General features: G+C 35.0%; 1 protein-coding gene across 6 annotated transcripts in view; it reads right to left on the bottom strand.

Moving 5' to 3' along the window:
* Positions 1-19,453, bottom strand: part of UBE2E3 (ubiquitin conjugating enzyme E2 E3) — an 83,066-nt gene that overhangs the window by 950 nt on the left and 62,663 nt on the right. For 5 of the 6 annotated variants that reach the window (NM_182678.3, NM_001278555.2, NM_006357.4 and 2 more), the window contains 2 exons: positions 4,651-4,783; positions 1,664-1,811 (listed from right to left, as the gene is read on the bottom strand). In NM_182678.3, coding sequence (NP_872619.1) covers positions 1,664-1,811; positions 4,651-4,783 — 281 coding nt within the window. Of the gene's footprint in view, positions 1-1,663; positions 1,812-4,650; positions 4,784-18,578; positions 18,606-19,453 lie in introns of those variants that run through there. The other variant, XM_017003167.3, reaches the window with a different exon arrangement.

Genomic DNA, 19,453 nt, shown 5'->3' with positions numbered 1-19,453 from the left:
TACTAGGTGGTTATATTTCTGCTTATGAATAGTTCAAAAATGGTTAATTTTAAAATAAAACCCCAGTCTTACAATACCATGCTATTTCAAATAAAATGCTTCCTTCATTCTGTGCCTGATATGACTCTAATCACTATCAATATTTACACTTGAAAACTTACTTGCCATTTTGTTTTAAGTAGAATTCTGAACTAGAGAGTGAACCTGATATAAATTTTTATTTTGATGTTTAAAAACAAAAAAATATGTACATATGGTACAATATTTGAATTGTACCAAACCATAGCCAGTAAAAAAAAACTATCTTCCTTCCTGACTCCAACTGCTCAGAAGTTTCTTTCCCTGGCAAACAATTGTTACCCATTTACAACATTACTTCCCAGAGTTCTTACATGCACTGACAAGCATTTAGAATATTATGTTGTGTATATGTATTTTTTTCCAGTGCCTTTTATACTTAATATATCTTGAAGATATTTCCCTATTAGTTCATATAGAGTTGTCACATTCTTTTTAAACGTTACATCTATTAATGGGCATTGAGGTTGTTTCCAATACTCTAATAAAGGATACCACAATGAATATCCATCTGTCACTATCTATTGCATATGTATCTCTGCCGAGCATAAGGTAACAACAGTAACAGTCTTTAGTGACTTATCAAATATTTAGAAGTAAGTCAACTTAAAAAAAAAAAAAAGGTCACATAACGAAACAAAATGTGTGAAATTTCAGGTCTAAACATCACTTTATCAAGTCAGCTACCCAAGTTTCTGAAGTTCACATGTGGCAGGCATTTTTTAAAGTTATGAATTATACACAAATGATTTTATCTGAGGTTATATAATCATAATCTAGTTCAATTCTCATTGGCTATCATTTTAATATCCATTACTACTACACTTTATATAACTAATTAATTAAAAAAGGAAGGGAGAACAAGAAGCCTTCTATTATTAAAGTAGTTGCCTAAAAGCATACAGCAGCATGGAAGGAGCAGGAAAAGGAGGCACTGGTTTCAGACACATTGCTTTACTCTTGTTAGAAGTGGTCGGCCGGGCGCGGTGGCTCACGCCTGTAATCCCAGCACTTTGGGAGGCCGAGGCGGGTGGATCATGAGGTCAAGAGATCGAGACCATCCTGGCTAACAAGGTGAAACCCCGTCTCTACTAAAAATACAAAAAAATTAGCCGGGCGCGGTGGCGGGCGCCTGTAGTCCCAGCTACTCGGGAGGCTGAGGCAGGAGAATGGCGTGAACCCGGGAAGCGGAGCTTGCAGTGAGCCGAGATTGCGCCACTGCAGTCCGCAGTCCGGCCTGGGCGACAGAGCGAGACTCCGTCTCAAAAAAAAAAAAAAAAAAAAAAAAGAAGTGGTCTGTGCACCTAAATACTTTTAAAAGTAGAGATTCCATTAATGATGGTGACAAAATAATTATAGAGTGGTATGCCATTAACAAATTAAATGAAGGTATTGAGAAACTTTTGGCCTAGTCTACTTCAAATGGCATTGGTAATTTCCTCACAAACTGTTTTATGGGGATCTTTCTATGAATAACATTTACCTCTCAATCTACATTTAAAGCTAACTAAAAAAAAAAAAAAAAAAAAAAAAAAAGCACTCGTTTTTGTAGTCTTATTGTACATGTTAATAAAGATTTGCTTACCAGGGTTGCAGTCTGTCAAAAGGGAACAAATAGACAGCAAAACCTTTGAAATAGTCAAAGCGGGACTCCAGTTGTCTTTAAGGATGTCCAGACAGATGACTCCCTGACTGTTGATGTTGCAGTGATAGATTCTGGTGCGGAAAGTAACCTAAGCACAGTCACATTAAAAACAGAAGGAAAATGAATGCTGTATTACCAATTAAAACACTAAAAAAAAATGAAGGGTAATATATCATAGATGATACTAAATTATTTGACTGGAGCTAAACTTAGATTAGGTTTAATAACAAAATTAAATGCTTTTGACTCAGTTGAAAAAAATTTTTTGTTTTTACCCTGTATAGAAAGAACTAAAGTGAGGAACTGATCAGTTATACTTAAATAACTGATACAGTAATTCCATCTATGTGTGTGGGTACGTCTGTTTGCATACACATCCACAGCATATACAACTGTGTGTGTACACATACATACAGAAAGACAGAAAGTGAGGAAGAAAAGAAATGTTTTGGTGCCGAAGGTAAGAGGAACTGATGAAGATTTTTTTTTAAAACATAAAAGTTACATCAGTTTCTTACTAGAAAAGATCAGTATCAATTCAGCTAATTTCTTACCAAACGTTAGAAAATACTGGAGGATTTAGAAGACGGTTGGTAAAATCATTCACACTACCTGCCTTTCTGTTTCTTAGCCTTTTATTTCTACAGCTGGTTCACTGTCTTGTTAGGCTAAAATATTAAAATAAAATAAACAAGGTTTTTAGCTACTGGATAAAGGAAACTAATATATCCCTGAAATGTGTGAGAAAAGAAGATAAATCATAAGAACAAACACTGCCAAGTCTCAAAACAATCACAAACACTAATTGGATAGCTAATTCATAATTGGAGTTGCCGAGAAAAAAAAAAATTTCTGATCATTTGAAAACTAGCAGTGTACTGTGAGCGCAAAAGTTGAATCTGGGAGGAAAACATTAAATGCTCTCAAAAGTGTCTTCCTGAAAAGAATGCATGACAGGGAGGGGGTAGGGGACCAACACACTAGTTTAGTGGGGGAGGAGGAGAGTATGCCCCTCTAGAACTGCTCTGACCAATACAGCATATACTAGTTACATGTGCATATACAGCTCTTAAATTGTGGCAAGGTGAATTGAGACGAACTAGAAGTGTAAAATAAATACCAGATTTCAAAGAGTTAGTACCAAAAAGAAAATGTGTAAGATTTCATTAACAATACTCTTACACGGATTACATGTTGAAATGACAATATTTTTAATATGTTGGGTTAACTAATATAGTATTAAAATTGTTTTATGTTTTATGTGGCTATTAGAAAATTTAAAATTATACATGTAGATTTTACTATATTTCCATTAATGCTGCTCTAGAATATAGAAATAATTTATGTTCAGATCACTGACGTTACTGCTCAATACATATGTGATTTACAAATATATTTTCAGCTATAACTAGTGAACAGAATAGCATTCATGAGCAGATTTCTATTAAATATTTATTATCCTTCAAGAAGCTCAACTTTTCCAAACTTCAAAAAGATTTAGCATTGCAGAGAAATAATTGTTCCAAATACCAAGATTATACCAGAAATCTTATTTTTCATTTGTCCAACTATAGATCTTAATGGTTAATACTGTATATCTCAGCAACAGAGTGAACACTAAAGAATTAGATGATATATTGCAATTTCAGCAAAAAACCAACATGCTAAATTTATAATCATTATATTCATCAAAATTACGGCAAATCATATACAGTACTATATAGTGTGAAATTCTTATATTAGCCAATTTCTGTTTTTCATTAAAAGGTGTCCAGGAAAACTTAAGAGTCTTTTTCTTCAATTAATCTTCCCCATATGCAAAAATAATTTCAAGATCTTACATGCTGATGGGACCACACGGTAAAGCACTTTAAACACTAACAGCTGTAATTGAGAGTAAATGGTGTCTGCGGTTTGGGGTAAATACCACTAGATGGCACTCGTTACCTTGTTAGACAATAAGTTACTGAGAAATAACCCTCTTTTATTCACAAAATAAATCCGTTTATGTGCACATATACATATACACACAGGCTACATAAATTTTAAATGGTATAGACTGCAACATAAATTTTTAAAAGTACAGAGAACAAAAGTCACCATGTTGGAAAAGAAAAACATTTCACCATAGTTAAGGGCTATGGACTTGAAAATACACTTTCCCCTGCTATGTCAGACATCTCTGTAACAACAGCATAATAATGCTCATGCTTAATTCCAGTGGTTTTTACCTGCTGACTTGACCATTGTAGAAACAGAAGTTAGCGGAGGGAGCCATTCAAGTAATTGTTATATTTAAGCTTTGCAAAGTTGATGGTCATTAGAAGGCACAACTCACCCCGTTCTCTGTTATCCATCTAATTCATACTTCAAATGAACTCAGAGCCAACAAAACTCAGGCATTCTGCTTCCACTACTACATCATACCCACAGAAGGTACAAAATGAGTTTACTAAATATTATTAGTTTCCCTCTTCTTGGCTATGAAGTTTTTGCTTATCTATAAAGGTATTCAGCACAAAATTCACATTATTAAACCCTTATTTCTGGAAGCTGTCAAACAGTTTTACTTTTTATCCTAATACCTTCATTAATACCTTAATAGTTAATTAAGGTATTATTAATTAAGGTATTAATGAAGGTTCATAGGATCTTCTCCCTCATAAGCATAAAATTTATCTGCTTTATTGATGTGCAAGGTATAGTTTTATTTACAATTAAGAATTAAACTCTTTCTGTTTATTACAAATTATTTGTGAAAGGAGTCAATTACTGTTTTAAAATTCTTGATTATGCGAAAATTTCCATATCAATCCATGAAAAGCAATGAAATCAAAATAACTGCATCAATACACATTTAAGTTCTAGAATAACCGATTTTAGAGGAGAAGGATTAAATACTAAAGAATGCACTTCAAGCTTCTTACCTTTGGTGGCTTAAATGGATAATCTGATGAAAATGTGATATCCAGAAAAAACACACCACCTTCATATACAGAACCCGGTGGACCAAGTATAGTTGATCTCCATTCATAAATGTTATCTCCTTTAGGCCCAGCACTATTTAAAAGAAATTAAAAATCAGTATGTACATATATTAGCAATGAATGTTAATATCCTAAAACCAGGGAAGTGTTAAAGGTAAATTAGCAATCTAGAGCAATAAGAAGTAAAATAAGTATAAAAGAAATAAGCCCCAATGTGTTTGCATGTGCATGTGTGTATGAACTTACTTGGAAATATTACAAACTTACAGAGGAAATGCAAGAAAAGTACAAAGAAAATTGGTATAACTTTACCCAGTCTCCATTAGCATTCTGCTCTGCCCCATTTGCTCCTCTCTCTCCCGAAACACACACCCCTCTAAACCTGCAAGCATGCATAGAGACATACTTTTTTCTGAGTCACCTGAAAGTTGCACACGGCCTTTTCCCCATAAACATGTCAGTGTGCATTTCCTAAAAACAATCTCCTATAAATTACAATACAGTTACAATTTCAGTAAATACATTAATACAATTCTTTAAAGTACAATTTGTATTATAATGTTGTCAACTGATTCGGTAATACCCTTTTAAAAAATTAATTTTTCTCCGATGCAGGACCCAGTCTTGGAACCACGTTATTTCCTGTGTCTTTATTCTCCTTTAATATGGGTCCTTTCCGCCTTTCTTTAACTTTTATAACATTAACGTTTTTTGCAGAATCTAGTCTTCTTTTTTAAAAAATGCTCATCATTTTGAGCTTGCCATGTTTCCTCATGATTTGATTCATGTAACGCATTTCTGGCTGAAATAGTAGGTGTCTGGCTGAAATAGTATGTGTCCTTCTCATGGTATCACATTTGGAGGCACACAGCACCTACCTGTACCTCATTGGTGATGTTAAGTTTCATCATCCAGACAAACTGCTATCCAATTTTCCTACTGCTTAGTTACTATCTTTTCCCTGCAACCAATAAGCAATATTTGGACAGACACTTCAAGACCAGGCAAATATCCTGCTTCTTATCAAAATTTCTTCCCAAGATTTAGCATCCATTTGTGATTGCTATGGTTTGATCTGTCCCTGCTAAAACTCAAGTTGAAATCTGACCCCCAAACGCGGCAATGTTGGGAAGTGTCTGGGTCAGAGGGGTAGATCCCTCATGAATAAATTAATGCCCTCCCTCAGGGGTGAGTCCTCACTCTAGCAAGAATGAATTAGTTCCCAAGAGAACTCATTGTTAAAAAGAGTGGCTTTCCTTGGTTTCTCTCTCTTGCTTCCTCTTGCTTTGTGATCTCTTTGCACTTGATGCCTGCCTTTCCACTGTGAGTTGAAGCAGCCTGAGGCCCTCAACAGATGCAGATGCCCATCAGGTGAACCAAATAAACCTCTTTTCCTTATAACCTACTCAGTCTCAGGTATTCTGTTACAGCAATAAAATCATGATTTTCCAATTCTAGAACTTTCTCTACACTTAACAGTTACCCCTTGAGCCTCTTCTCCTGCCTGTACGTATGTACAGAAGTATTACTGGTATGGTCTCATTTTTTCCCAATGCTTTATAAGTCATTACTGACTTTAATTATTTTGATACCCAAATTATTGCAGATTTGGCTGATGGGGAACCCTTTCAAAATGACTCCTATATCCTTGCAACATGTTAGCATCTTTTTTTTTTTTTTTTTTAAGCATTTCCTTCCTTTGGCATAAGGAATCCCATCCTTGGAATCAAACATTTTTCCAAAGAGCCAGGGTTCCTTTCAGTGCGAATGTTGTAAGAAAAACCAAGATCTGAGTCCTAGGTGCTACTAAGTCTTAGTTACATTTTGGTGCACTGCGCTTAACACACCATTACTTTATAAAATACAAACAAGAGAGATAGTTCAAATAAAATCTAAACTCATAATTACTTGTTGGTAAGACGACTCATACGCCTTAAACTCTCCTCAAATATATTTTACTGCCAGTTGATAGAAGAGCTTGGATTCCCACACCAAATTCTTAGTTCTTAAATGTGCTCTCTTCCCACTTATCATGCTATTTGCCATCGGACAAAGTGTACATTTAACTATAGGACAAAGTGTACATTTAACTATTGCAGGATAGTAAATAACTTTTCCTATTGTCTTGGAGTAGACTAAGCAGAGAAGCTATGGTAGTATGATTACTTTGCTGTACCCAAAGACACCTAGTTTAGGACAAGTGAAGGCTAAAATCCAGTCCTAAAATCCAGGTAGTGTTGGCTACCTGTCTGGATTAGGGGCCTCTTTTCATTCTCATAAATGTACCATCTGTTAGTCAAAACATACGGCAAGATGGGAAGGGGTCAGGAAGGGACATGAGCAGTTGCAGGGCTGAGTCCACTGTAATTTAAACAAATCATATTAGAGGCTAGCAACTGACCGACACTCTCTGTCTCTTCCACTGTCTTGAATCATCATCCATTTTTCCTTCTCTGGTGAGTGATGCCAATAAGAATCCAACAATGCCCTTTCTCCCAACTTTATTATTATTTTTTAAAATCTCTATTTCTCTCTCCCTTCGAGTTTCCATCTCAATCATCTTTCCTTGACAGCAAAACTCCTTGGAAATCTTATCTACATCTGCTATCTTCAGTTTCTCTCCTCTGTTGTTACTTGAACTCATTCCCAACAGGCATTTCCTCCCATTACTCCACTGAAACAGCTCTTATCCAAAGTCACCAATGACCTCATCACTACACCCAATGATCATTTCTCAATCTTCATATTATTTGACTGGTCCAGCAACATTTGACACAGCCAATCACATCCTCCTTGATACACTTTCTCTTTCATTCCTAGAATAACATACTTTGTTAGCTTTCCTACATTTCCTGGCCCCTCGTTCTCACTCTCTATTCCTATTCCTTATCACCCTAAGCTTTAAATATCACCAGTCCTCCAGAGCTAAGACCTTACACTCTTCTCTTTTCTACCTACATATACTGTTTTGGTTATCTTATGCAGTTTTACGGCTCCCAATACCACCAATATGCTCTTAACTTCCAAATCTGTAACTGCAGCCTAGATTTTTTTTGCTCTGCAAGACAATGTCAAGAGAACAAGGCAGGCAACAGTCTTGGAGAAAATATTTGCAAAAGATGTACCTGATAAAGAACTGTTATCAAAAATATACGATGAACCATTAAAACTAAAGAAAATGAACAACCTGATTATAAAATGGGTGAAATACCTGAACAGATACCTCACACCAAAGATAAACAGATGGCAAGTAAGCGTATGAAAAACTGTTCAAACTCATGTCATTAGGGAATTTCAAGTTAAAACAAGAAAAGCATGCCACTACACACCTATTAGAATGGCCCAAATCCAAAACACCAACAACAAATGCTGAAGAAAATGTGGAGTAACAGGAACTCTCATCCATTGCTAGTGGAGAATACAAAATGGTACAGGAAATGCAAAATATCTAGATTCATTTTTATGCATCTGGATGTCCACTTTGGAAGACAGTTTGGCAATCTTGTTACAAACATAAACATATCTTACCATAAGATCCAGTAATCACACTCCTGGGTATTTACTCAAATGAACTGAAAACTTATGTCCACACAAAATTCTGCATGCAGATGTGAATAGCAGCTTGATTCATAACTGCCAAATCTTGAAGGTGATCAAGATGTTACTTCAGTAGGTGAATGGATATATAAACTGTGGTACCTCCAGACAACGAAATATTATTCGGTGCTAAAAAGAAATGAGCTATCAAGCCATGAAAAGATATGGATGAAACTTAAATGCATATTAGTAAGTGGGAGAACCCAATATGAAAAGGCTACATACTGTATGACTCCATCTATATGACATTCTGGAGGCAAAACTACAGAAACAGTAAAAATATCAGTGGTTGCCAGGGGTTAGTGGGGTGGAAGGGATGAAGAGGCACAGCACGGAGGATCTGTAAGGGAGTGAACTTTTCTGTATGGTATGAATGGCGGATATGTCACTATATATGTGTAAAAATCCATAAAATGTACAACATCAAGAGTGAACCCATATGAAAACTAGGGACTTTGCATGATAATGATGTGTTAATGTAGGTTTATCGATTGGAATGTAACAACTATACCACTGTAGTGTGGGACAATAATAGCAGGGGTGGTTGTGTGTCTGTGCAGGGGCAGAGATACAAGGGGTTTTCACTCAATTTTGCTATGAACCTAAAACTGCCCAGAAAAAGCTATTAATTTAAAAAATACAAATAAATTTTAGAACAAGCAAATATTTATATATTAAAATAAGAGGTCAATGTTTCTGTAAGTAATGGTTTATAAAAAGAGTTACTAACTTTTATAAACGAGTATGTTCCAAAAATTTGTTCTGAAATCAGGTATTTTGGAACTTGAAACACATTTGGACCATAGAACTAAGGTGGTTTAAATCCTGGTCCACAAAATTTATTTAAACTATTTCTTCTATAATATTAAATAAGGTACTGTATATCTGCAGTAAAAAATACTGAAAAGTATGATATATGGTTAGACATTTTAAAACTACATAAACCAGAGTGCCTTCGAATTGACCACTCTGGCTCTCAAAGTTCATGTAGTTGGCAGGTATTCACTCTGGCCTCTGATCTTTTCCTACTCTTTCAAACATATCTTTATAAACCAAGGAGAAAAGAGATGTAAAAATAAGGAAATTCTGGTCACAAAGAACGAGAGGAAAAGAAAAAGATTATTCCTGGAAACTTAAAGGGTGGTGAAACGACTAAGAAATGACTAAGAGGGAACAGCATTGTAAAAGTGATGGCGAGGTGTCCTGTGCACAGAGAGGCACATGGAAAGCCCACCAATCAGCCAGATAGAAGGGAGGTAAGGATAAAAGAAAACCAAGGTAGAAAAGTGACCAGCAAGCATTTCACAGCAGATAGGAAAATGGAAGACTCCTGGAACAGCAGAGGCAGAAGAAGCAGAACAAAGAAAATAAAACAAGGAGTCTACCCTGGCCTTAAGAGTGGGTAGACCTTTCAGCAAAAGTGATTAAAAACTAGGTCTTGATATGATTAGAAACTACAAACTGGGAGGTAAACAGGAAAGGAGTATTTCTGGGCTATTGCTAGACAATAAAAAGGACTAGCCAATGTTAGTGGTGTTAAAATGTGTGAAAGTCAGGTGTTCTCAATGATAACTGCCTGCACTGTTAACTTTCAGCACTCAACCATTTTCAGATATTTTTAAAATTCAAAATTTCTGAAAAGCAATGAGCATATACCTTAAACAGCTGGGTTAACGAAGATATTTAAATGTCACACAGACTCTAGCAAACTTGTCCAACCTGCCTTATTTTGCTGCTGCTGTTGTGCTGTTTTGTTTTATGCTTTTAACAGCCTAAAGCCATGGGTTTTAGTTTCTGTCTCTAGTGATAAGAGAAAAAGAGGATGAGGAAGGGGCTTTACTGGCCTAACCAGAAACAGAAACTTCAAGAACCTACGACTGTATTCTTTCCCCTGGACACCCCTGCAAAGTATTTTAATTAATTCTTGACATCACCAACATCCTAACTAAATGGGAGAATTAGTTACACCTTAATGATTGTAATTTAAGTATTACATTTTCTTATAGGATGTGGGTGTGTCAGCCACCTTTCTTTTCTCAACCTTAACAACTAGATAAGATTCACTCAGATTAATAATATGGCTAATAAAAGGAGACACTTCACAATGATTCAGTCATAATTAAGTTAAATCACACAATTTTTACATTGTGCCAAACTATATGGAAATACCTCAGTGACTCAGAAATGTATCCAGTGTCTTCAGACTCTATACAAAATTTTATTTGGAAAACGTATTTTTGACTTAAAAACAGATACAAAATTTTAGGTACAATGCCACACTGCATAAAAAAGCAGTCTAGAAAACACAGAGAATAGTAATTATAAAACTAGCTCATGTATTCACTATAAATACATATTTAAAAAGAAATTACATACAAAAGGTTACTCCATTAGGTTGGACTAAGTATTTTAATAGTCCTAAGAATTTGCACACATATTCTATTGCAAAAGTATACTTCAGAATTGGTATACTTAAAATGCATAATATTGAAAATTAAAATCAATCACTATTAATATCACCAAAATAAGCAATAACTGTTCCTAATGTTGATACGACTTTTCCCACAATGAGGCTATCAAGTTAGCATCTCAGTATGAGTAATGGGGGTAGGAGAGATTAGAAAGAGGAGCCCTTAAATTAGACCAATCTTTAGAAAAGACTGGAATGAGTTAGGTAATTAAGATTATAAATCAGTTCATTACAAACGTTTGTAGGTCAGTAATGCACATTTCAGGGATTAAGCTGCAACTCAGTAAGCACACCTGAGTTCTAAGAAGAATATTAAAAATGAGAAGATATCCAACCTAGCATTGTTTAAAATACTGAAAAAACTGCATAAAACCACTATGTCTACCAATAAGGAAATAGATAATTATACAGCAATTAAAATGAATGACCTATATTTTTCAGCAAGAGATAGCTCTCAAAAATAATGCTGAGTGAAAAAAGTTAAGCTGAAGGATTAAACATGTAATTTAATACCATTTATTCAAGTTTTAAAAACATAAAAAAGATCCCACATATTGTTTATGAATGCATACATACACCGTGAAAGTATGAAAACATGCAGAAATCATGGACCAAAAATACAGGATAGTTATTGCCTCTGGGCCGGAAGGAAAAGGAATGAGACTGGGAAGAAAGTACGAAGAAACTTCAACTATATATAGTTTTATTTCCTTTAAAAAAATGTTCAAGCTAGAATACATGAAAGGATTACTGGATTATTACTCAAGTCTTACCTATTACTGTACGTTGAAACAAGAAAGAAGGAAGTTTCAAAGCACACCAGAGCTCTATTTTACTATTAACATAACTAAAGAAAGAAAGAACATTTTATGGAGTGCCCACTCTTTGCCAGGTGCTTTATATCACATCTAACTCAATAGTAGTAATCCTGTTCGAGTATTTTTATCACAATTTCACAGATGAGAAACCGAGCCAGAAAGGTTAAGTGACTTGCCTAGGGTCGTATATGCAGAGCTAAGATTCTCTTCTAAAATGTCTTCACCACAAATTTGAAAGCAATAAATCCATACAAATATTTTTAATTACCCAGCTCCTGCCAAAAATAAAATGTAAACAGATTCAGAAATAAAGGTATCTAATCACGTACTAAAGGTGATTCTGTAATGGCTTCTACTCTACAGACTTTTAAATGCTTCATATAATTTGGATTATTAATTCTTTGTTCCATCTCTGCTTAAGTGTCTACTCTAAGAGTCCCTCCCAAACTTTAGGATTATATTTCTGAAGAGAATCCCGTTGAACAAAACAGCAGGTGACAAGATGAGTTTTAGAGTCTTTTAGCACTTAGGATGTGGGGATGGGAGGAAAAACAAAATGATATAAAATTCAAGTTTTGAAAGAGTTGAAGAAAACCCACAAGGTATCACCTTCAAAACAAATATGGCCATTTGCATTAAAAATCTATACTAGTATGTAACTCTTGCTTGAAACACCTTCAATAACTGTTCAGGAAATAGTGATCAGAGTATTGCCTTGTAAAGAAGTGGATTCTTTTCCTAAAATTTGTATTAAGCAGATTCTGATATGTAAGTTTTTGAACCATCCCTTACCAGCTTCACATCTTTTACATAAATTACTACAAATGCTTGTGTAACTTATTGGCCTTTTTGTAAATTACTGTGATGCCTGAAAGTAAGATTTTTGAAATCTAGTCTTCATTTCATATATTCAGGGTATGGCAAATAAATATATTTTTTCTTTCTGTCCAGCCCTAACAACCTTATCACATGGCCTACAGAAAAGTAGTAGTATTTCATAGTCTTTTGTTTAAAGGAATTAGATTGAACATAAAAATAAAATGGCTGGGTGTGCGTGCTATATACATACACATAAATTCAGTCTGCAAAACCATCTTCATTGAAGAATTAATAACTATTTCTGGCAGTCAGGTGTACATATAAAAAGACTGATGAAGTAAAAAAACTATGGCATCTGCCTAAAGGCTTCTATCTGCACAGATAATGCAATAATGCTTTCTTGATCTAGTAATTACCATATAGTCTTTCTTCAAAACTATTACTATAAAGCTTGTGCTTTGTCTATCTTAAGGCCTATTATGACAGTCATCATCCAAACGCAGTCAAGTCTATTGTGTATAATCATAAGAAACACTTTGTAAGAGAAGAATTCTGGTACAGGTATTTTTATTGCAAAGTACTGTACACTTATATAAATGTAGATGAAAACATTTCTACAAGTACAACCATACACAAGGTGAAATAATTTAAAAAACACACACAAACACACATCCAAGTCCAGTCAGTTAAACAACATTGTGAATAACTACTATGGACCAGGCACTGGGATGCCAGGATAAACTGTGGGTGTGGTGAAATTAAATATCAACATCTATAAGTATATTGTCTTTAGCCAATACTGTGGTCACAATTTCACACTTAAATCCCTTGTTTTTTATATTCACATTCATTGTGGTGTATAATATCCAACTTAGCTAAAATACCTACACTCAAAAAGCTGCTCTGTCCAGCAGATCCTTGACTTCTCTGCTAATGGTGACATAAAGAATATCTTTATCCTCTGAAGCTTCTTTACTCCCTCAGCTGAAATCTCCAGAAATCTCAACCCATCACCCTTTCTTCTCCTAGTTGCCGCTATTCTCTCAGCTGAGTTCTACTGCCCAAGAGAGGGAGAAAAGGTAATCTTAGCAATGAGTTGTTCATTTTAACAACCTTATCAAGGCGGCTGGGGCTCAGGAAAATCCTTAGGATGCAGAACAAATTTAATTATATGAAGTACATCAAATGCTAAATGGGCATGTGTGAAGTAGGCGGAGAACACAGGTAGCTTCTGTAATATTTTTCTAAAGTAAAGCCAAACCTCTATATTGCTTTCCAAACTTCAAAAACTGTTTATAAGTGAACAGTTGTTATTCCTGAGTGTTTTAGAAAGAATCATATTTATTTAGGTTGAAAGCAATTAGGAGTTCACAATTAGGGAAAGCTATAATACAGACAATTAGGGTGAGAGGAGTGGCTGGGGAAATAACGTAGAAAAATAATTCTACTAACTAAAAGGGCAGACCTAGGTATGTGCTAGTGGTTCCCATGATTTTATCTTCCTACTCCTCTTCCCAAGAATGACCTCGTTTTGGTAAATGTGTGAATTCTTATGTAATCTCTATAACAACCAACCAGGAAATGGTATTGCTTATTAATCCATACTGTGCCTTGTGAACCTATGAATTTACTTTGAATCAAAAAAAGTATTTAAGCTTTAACAATATACAAAATACAGTACTTGTTAGATTCAATAAAGAAAACAAATTCATTCATTCATTAAGGAGTTATTGAGTGTCTACGATTTGGGGCTAGGAATCTGTACAAGAAACTAAATATACAATGGAGATTTCAGCCAAGCTGAGGATATAGATCTTAATCAAATAAACTCACAAAAAAACATAAAACAGAAAACGCTACAAAGGCAAGGTATTCCTTGTTGAATGCCGGGGAAATGTTAGAGAGATAAGGGAAGAGTCAGAGGAAGCAATATTTAAAAGATTATTTCAAATACCCCAGTGGGGGTTTATCAGTAGAAGCTGAAAGGAAAGGGCTGGGAAAGAGGACTTCAAAGCATAGGAAAATGCCCTGAGGCCATCAGGAACAAGTAGCAGGGCCTGGAAGCACAATGTGGCAGAAGGGAAGAGAACATGGGAAGTACAATGAAACGACCTAATGAGGGAAGCTGTAACAAACGTCTAGGCAGGACCTTGTAAGACTACATGAAGGAGACTTGTCTTTATATTAAAAGAAATAGGCAGCTATCAAAAGATTTTAAGCAACAAAGGGGGAGTGTTAAACTAATATGGACATTTTGCAAGGCCTCCTCAGGCTGCTCTGTGGAAAATGGTCTGGAGGAGGCCCGGAGGGGCTGTGGGTGGACCACTGCAGTAATCTGGGTGAAAGATGATGATAGGCTAGACTAATATGGTACCAGAGACAAAGAAGAGGGACTTGAGAGTTATTTAGGAGGAAAAAAACAAAACAAAACAAAAATCAACCAGACTTACGTTTTGAAATAGGACAAGTGAGGAAAAGGAGGGTTTCGAGAATAGCTTATAGTTTTCAGACTGCTATGACTGAGATAATGTATATGCCATTAACTAAGATATGGATGTTGAAAAAAAAGTTGGTTTTGGATACACTGGGACTAAGAAGTTTATGAGATATCCAAAAGATAAGTATGTCAAAGAGACAGACAAGTAAGATAAAGGGGCCTGGTCCTATAGATATAAATTTGTGAGACCTTGATACACAGGTCCTTAATGTCCTGCAGGTGGGATGAGCCAGGCTAGGTAAAGAGTACAGAGTAAGAAGGCGAGATGATACCTGAGATGAGACCACCACACCTAAGTCCCAATAATACATGTCAGACCTCTAACAGGTGTTTAACAGAGGGACAAAAAAGCAAATGGAAACAAAGCAGAGGAGAGATTAATTACATGAAGAGATATGGAAAGAAGCTGGGTTTGAAAAGTGTGTTAGAAACTAAAGACGTCATCTAGTCATGTGGTGATCATGCCAATAAACTACAAAAACTACCTGCATGTGTATGCTGGCAATATGAACTAACTCTTTCTGTAAAAATACAGAAGGAAATGCTAATACTGGTTACCTCTAAAAAGGATGTGGTGCTCTGTAGTGAAAAGGAAACCTAGTTTTCACTTATACTCTTTCTACTCTGAATAGTTTTCTGTGTAATTTTTAATTTGAAAAATAAGAGGGACAGGGGCCCAATAAGTCAAAACTGGGGCTATGGCTGAAGCACTAAGAGTGCTGTAAAGGCACTACAGAATAAAATCTAAACCATAAAGGATTTTAGGTAGGCAGAGTAATTTCTATGATATGCTTTCTTATCAAACCCCAAACTGGAGAACTCTGACAACAGAGATTTTCTAATTCTGAAAAATCAGATTAATAAGAGCTTTTAGAAATCTTGGCTAAGATTACTTAACCCTTCTTAGGTCTCTTCCCTCCCCCATTCTTTGCACACTGTACAGTTTAAGGGCTCATCCAAAACTGAAGCCATTTCGCCAATATATTGTAAATCTGAATTACAACTTAACCATATGTGACAGATCATCTTGTTTTCATTTTCTGCCTTTAAGACAGGCTATGATTAGGTAAAATACAACTAACAGTTGATAAATGTGTCAAGCTCTAGCCCAGTTTATCATGAGGCTTAAACTAAACACAGACTCTAACAGCACCTGTTTGTCCATTAGTTTTTTTCTGTATGTTTTGCAGTTTGATATACGAGGGCAGGTATGGAAATGTATCTTCTGCTAGCAAGTATTTGTGTTTTGTGCTACATTTTTGTTCAGAACCTTAATGCCTACACGGAATCCCTGACCTGCGAAAGACTCAAAATTCAATAAATCTATTTCCTGCTTATCTGTGGCTTTATGGAAGATCTTTTTCCTTGGTGGACAATGTAATTACAAAGCTTCATACTATAGCTGGCACTTATGTGGGGTACTCAGTGTTACTGATTCACTCTTCTAACATTTACTGATTATCTACCATGTGCCAGGCACTAGTGGGTACTGAAAATACAGTGATGAACAGAAGAACATACAAGGTCCTTGCCCTCACAGTGATTATGCAAATACTGAACAACACAAAATTATCCACATAAAATAATGCTGGATAGATACAAAGTCACTTATATAAGCAGACTATATTCCAAAAAGAGTGTAGGAAAAATAGTACTTAACAAATTGATTGTTGTCTTTTTTTTTTCTGTCCCAACATATCCAAGGGTATGTGTATATTCCCATCAGTTAACACTGGCTCACTAAATTAATAAGGGAAGTGGAAGGGAGGGAACAGTGTGGAGAAAATCTCCCAGGTTATTCTAATAAGCAACCTTCTTAAGAGGTACTAAGTTAATTGATGTGGTTACTACATCTGAAACCATGGGTCCCAACCTTGGCTGCCAAATGTAATCACCTGTGGAGTTTAAAAACTTACCCAATACCAGGTCCCACCCCTAGAGATTCTGATGTATTAGTCTGGGGCTTGGTCTGAGCTTACAGAGCTTTAAAAACTCATCAGGTGATAAAATGCTCAGCCATGATTCAAAACAACTGGAGACGGGGAGAGCAGATATGCAGAAAGAATGGGGAAAAAAAGAATGAAAACAAGAAAGTATTCCAATCCTCAGATGTGACATAATTGCCTGGGCTCTCTAACTGTTACTCCTATTGTGCAGAAAGATGTAAGAAGCTATTATAACTTTTGCCAAAACTCATTAACATCTTTAGATTGTGGTGAATTTATTGAGGTAATGCAGCTTTGCTGGGCTCAGCCAGGGGCATGCCAGCCTCCTTGGAAAACTTCCCTATCACCACCTCAAAAAGCTGTAACAATAATCAGCATAATATAACAGCTTTTTAAAATTGATCAAATGAGAAAACGTCTCTACAACCTTCTTACTCATACACAGCACAAGTAATTTTGCTTACACATTTGTCTTTAAAAAGTAGATTATGACAGTTTAAGATTCTCAGCTCTTCCTGCTGTATGCTTTCTTGCCATTTCCCTCCCTCTCTTTCTGCTTATAAAGCAGCAGACGTAAAAGCATAAACACAAGGTATACTACTAGAGGAAGGTAAAATCTTATTTTAGTGTCCTATGTAAACACTTAGTAAGTTCTCTGACTTTAAATTCTAACATTTAGAAAATTCTACATAATATGAAAAGAGAAAATGTATTATTAATTCTAGAACATTAACCAGTGCACCACTGACATTATATAACTACTATGCCATAAAATATTCTTAGAACTGAACAATTACTGGAGAGTACAGTAAGCTAAATCAGAAACTAGTGAGCAATTAAGACTTTTAACATAGTGATTAATGTAAGAACCATTCACAGGGACTTTAGGAATTATGTTACCATCTATAAGCATACAAAACAACAAAAGATGCATTAAGAAGATCAATACACTAATCTAGTGACATAAAAAATTATATCAGCATAATAGTGGAATTATGTCACAAATCTTGAAATTACAAAAAGTAGTTTCTACACAGTAAATTAAAACTGAATCTTCCTTAGGATAAAGCCTTATAGAAAACACAATCTCCTATTAAAGTAAACCTGCATTCTATCTGTCACCTCTAGTATTCTCTATTGCCACTAAAGATTCTTTTTTTCCACTTCTATCCCTTATGATCTGGGTTTGCCCTGAAGTGATATTTGGCATCCTTCTTGCCATACATAGTGCCATAGATAATACAAACTATATATATTTATCGCTTAGAGATTTCATCCTATTTTATATAAATTACATATAGTCAGTTTCTAAATTTTTAGTTGTAGCACTGTATATTTTGCACTATTCACTTTTTCAGTACTTATTGAACATTATACTTTTTCTGACCAACCGTCATCTCAAACTCAACAAAATAAAAATAATCTTTAACACAAAACCTGGCCCTACCAAAGACCAGAAATTGTAGTACTTGGGAAAAATGTGGAGGGACAGTTATGCTCAAATACCACTAGATCGGAGGAGAAATACAGCCTTTTAAAGATTCTTAGCCACATGTATCAAGAGTCATTTGATTAAGTAATCCCACATCCAAGAAGCTATCCTAGGACAAAAAACAGAGACGTGAATAAAAGTTTTTGTAAAAGAAGGCTCAAAGCAAAATAACAATAGTGAAACTCAAAATAACTTAAATGTCCAACGAAATAACGGTTAAATCACTTACGGTTTTCAATCAATCATGATGTAGGCACTGAAAAAAATTGAAGATTTTGAAGACTGTTTAATGACATGGAGAAATATTCATGACAGATTAAGAAAGAAGAGTAGATCACAAAACTATACATACACACCAGTAATCATATTGTGTAAACAATTTGTATATGTGTATACAGTATGTGTATTTTAAAAGAGGATGGGTGGAAATAACATTGATTATGTCTATGGTGATTATCGTTAATTATTATATTTTACTTTCTTGTGTTTTTGTCTTATCAAATATTATACAATAATTCAGGTTAAGTATCCCTCATCCAAAATGCTTAGGACCAGAAGTGTTAACTTTTTTTATATTTTTGGATTTTGGAAGATTTGCATATACATAATGAGATATACTGGGGATGAGACCAAAGTCTAAACACAAAACTCATTTATGTTTCATGTACATCTTATACACTAAGCCTGAAAGTAATTTTATACAATATTTTAAATAATTTTGTGCATGAAACAGATTTGAACACACTAAGCCATCAGAAAGCACTGTATCTCAGCCACTCATGTGGACAATCTGGTTGACTGGCATCACCATCATTCCTTACTCTTGAATTTATATGCTACTAGTAAGCATTCATTTTCTTATATTTATTCACATGTAAGTATTTAGTAAAAAAATAGAACATACCATGGATACAATGAAAAAATGTGTTCAGGTTAACTCGTAGCATCATGTTGGAACTCAAAAAGTTTCACGTCTTGGAGCATTTCAGATTTCAGATCAGAGATGCTCAACCTGTTATATACTTTTATTTAAAACAATTTTTTAAATGGCACTTTCATTTATTTTTCTAGTTGTGCAGGCATAAGACTTGACTTTTAAGCTTC

The sequence above is a fragment of the Homo sapiens genome, chromosome 2, assembly GCF_000001405.40.
Source record: "Homo sapiens chromosome 2, GRCh38.p14 Primary Assembly".
NCBI lineage: Eukaryota > Metazoa > Chordata > Mammalia > Primates > Hominidae > Homo > Homo sapiens.
The sequence above is the reverse complement of the archived record's forward strand: the minus strand, read 5'-3'. Positions and strand labels throughout refer to the sequence as shown.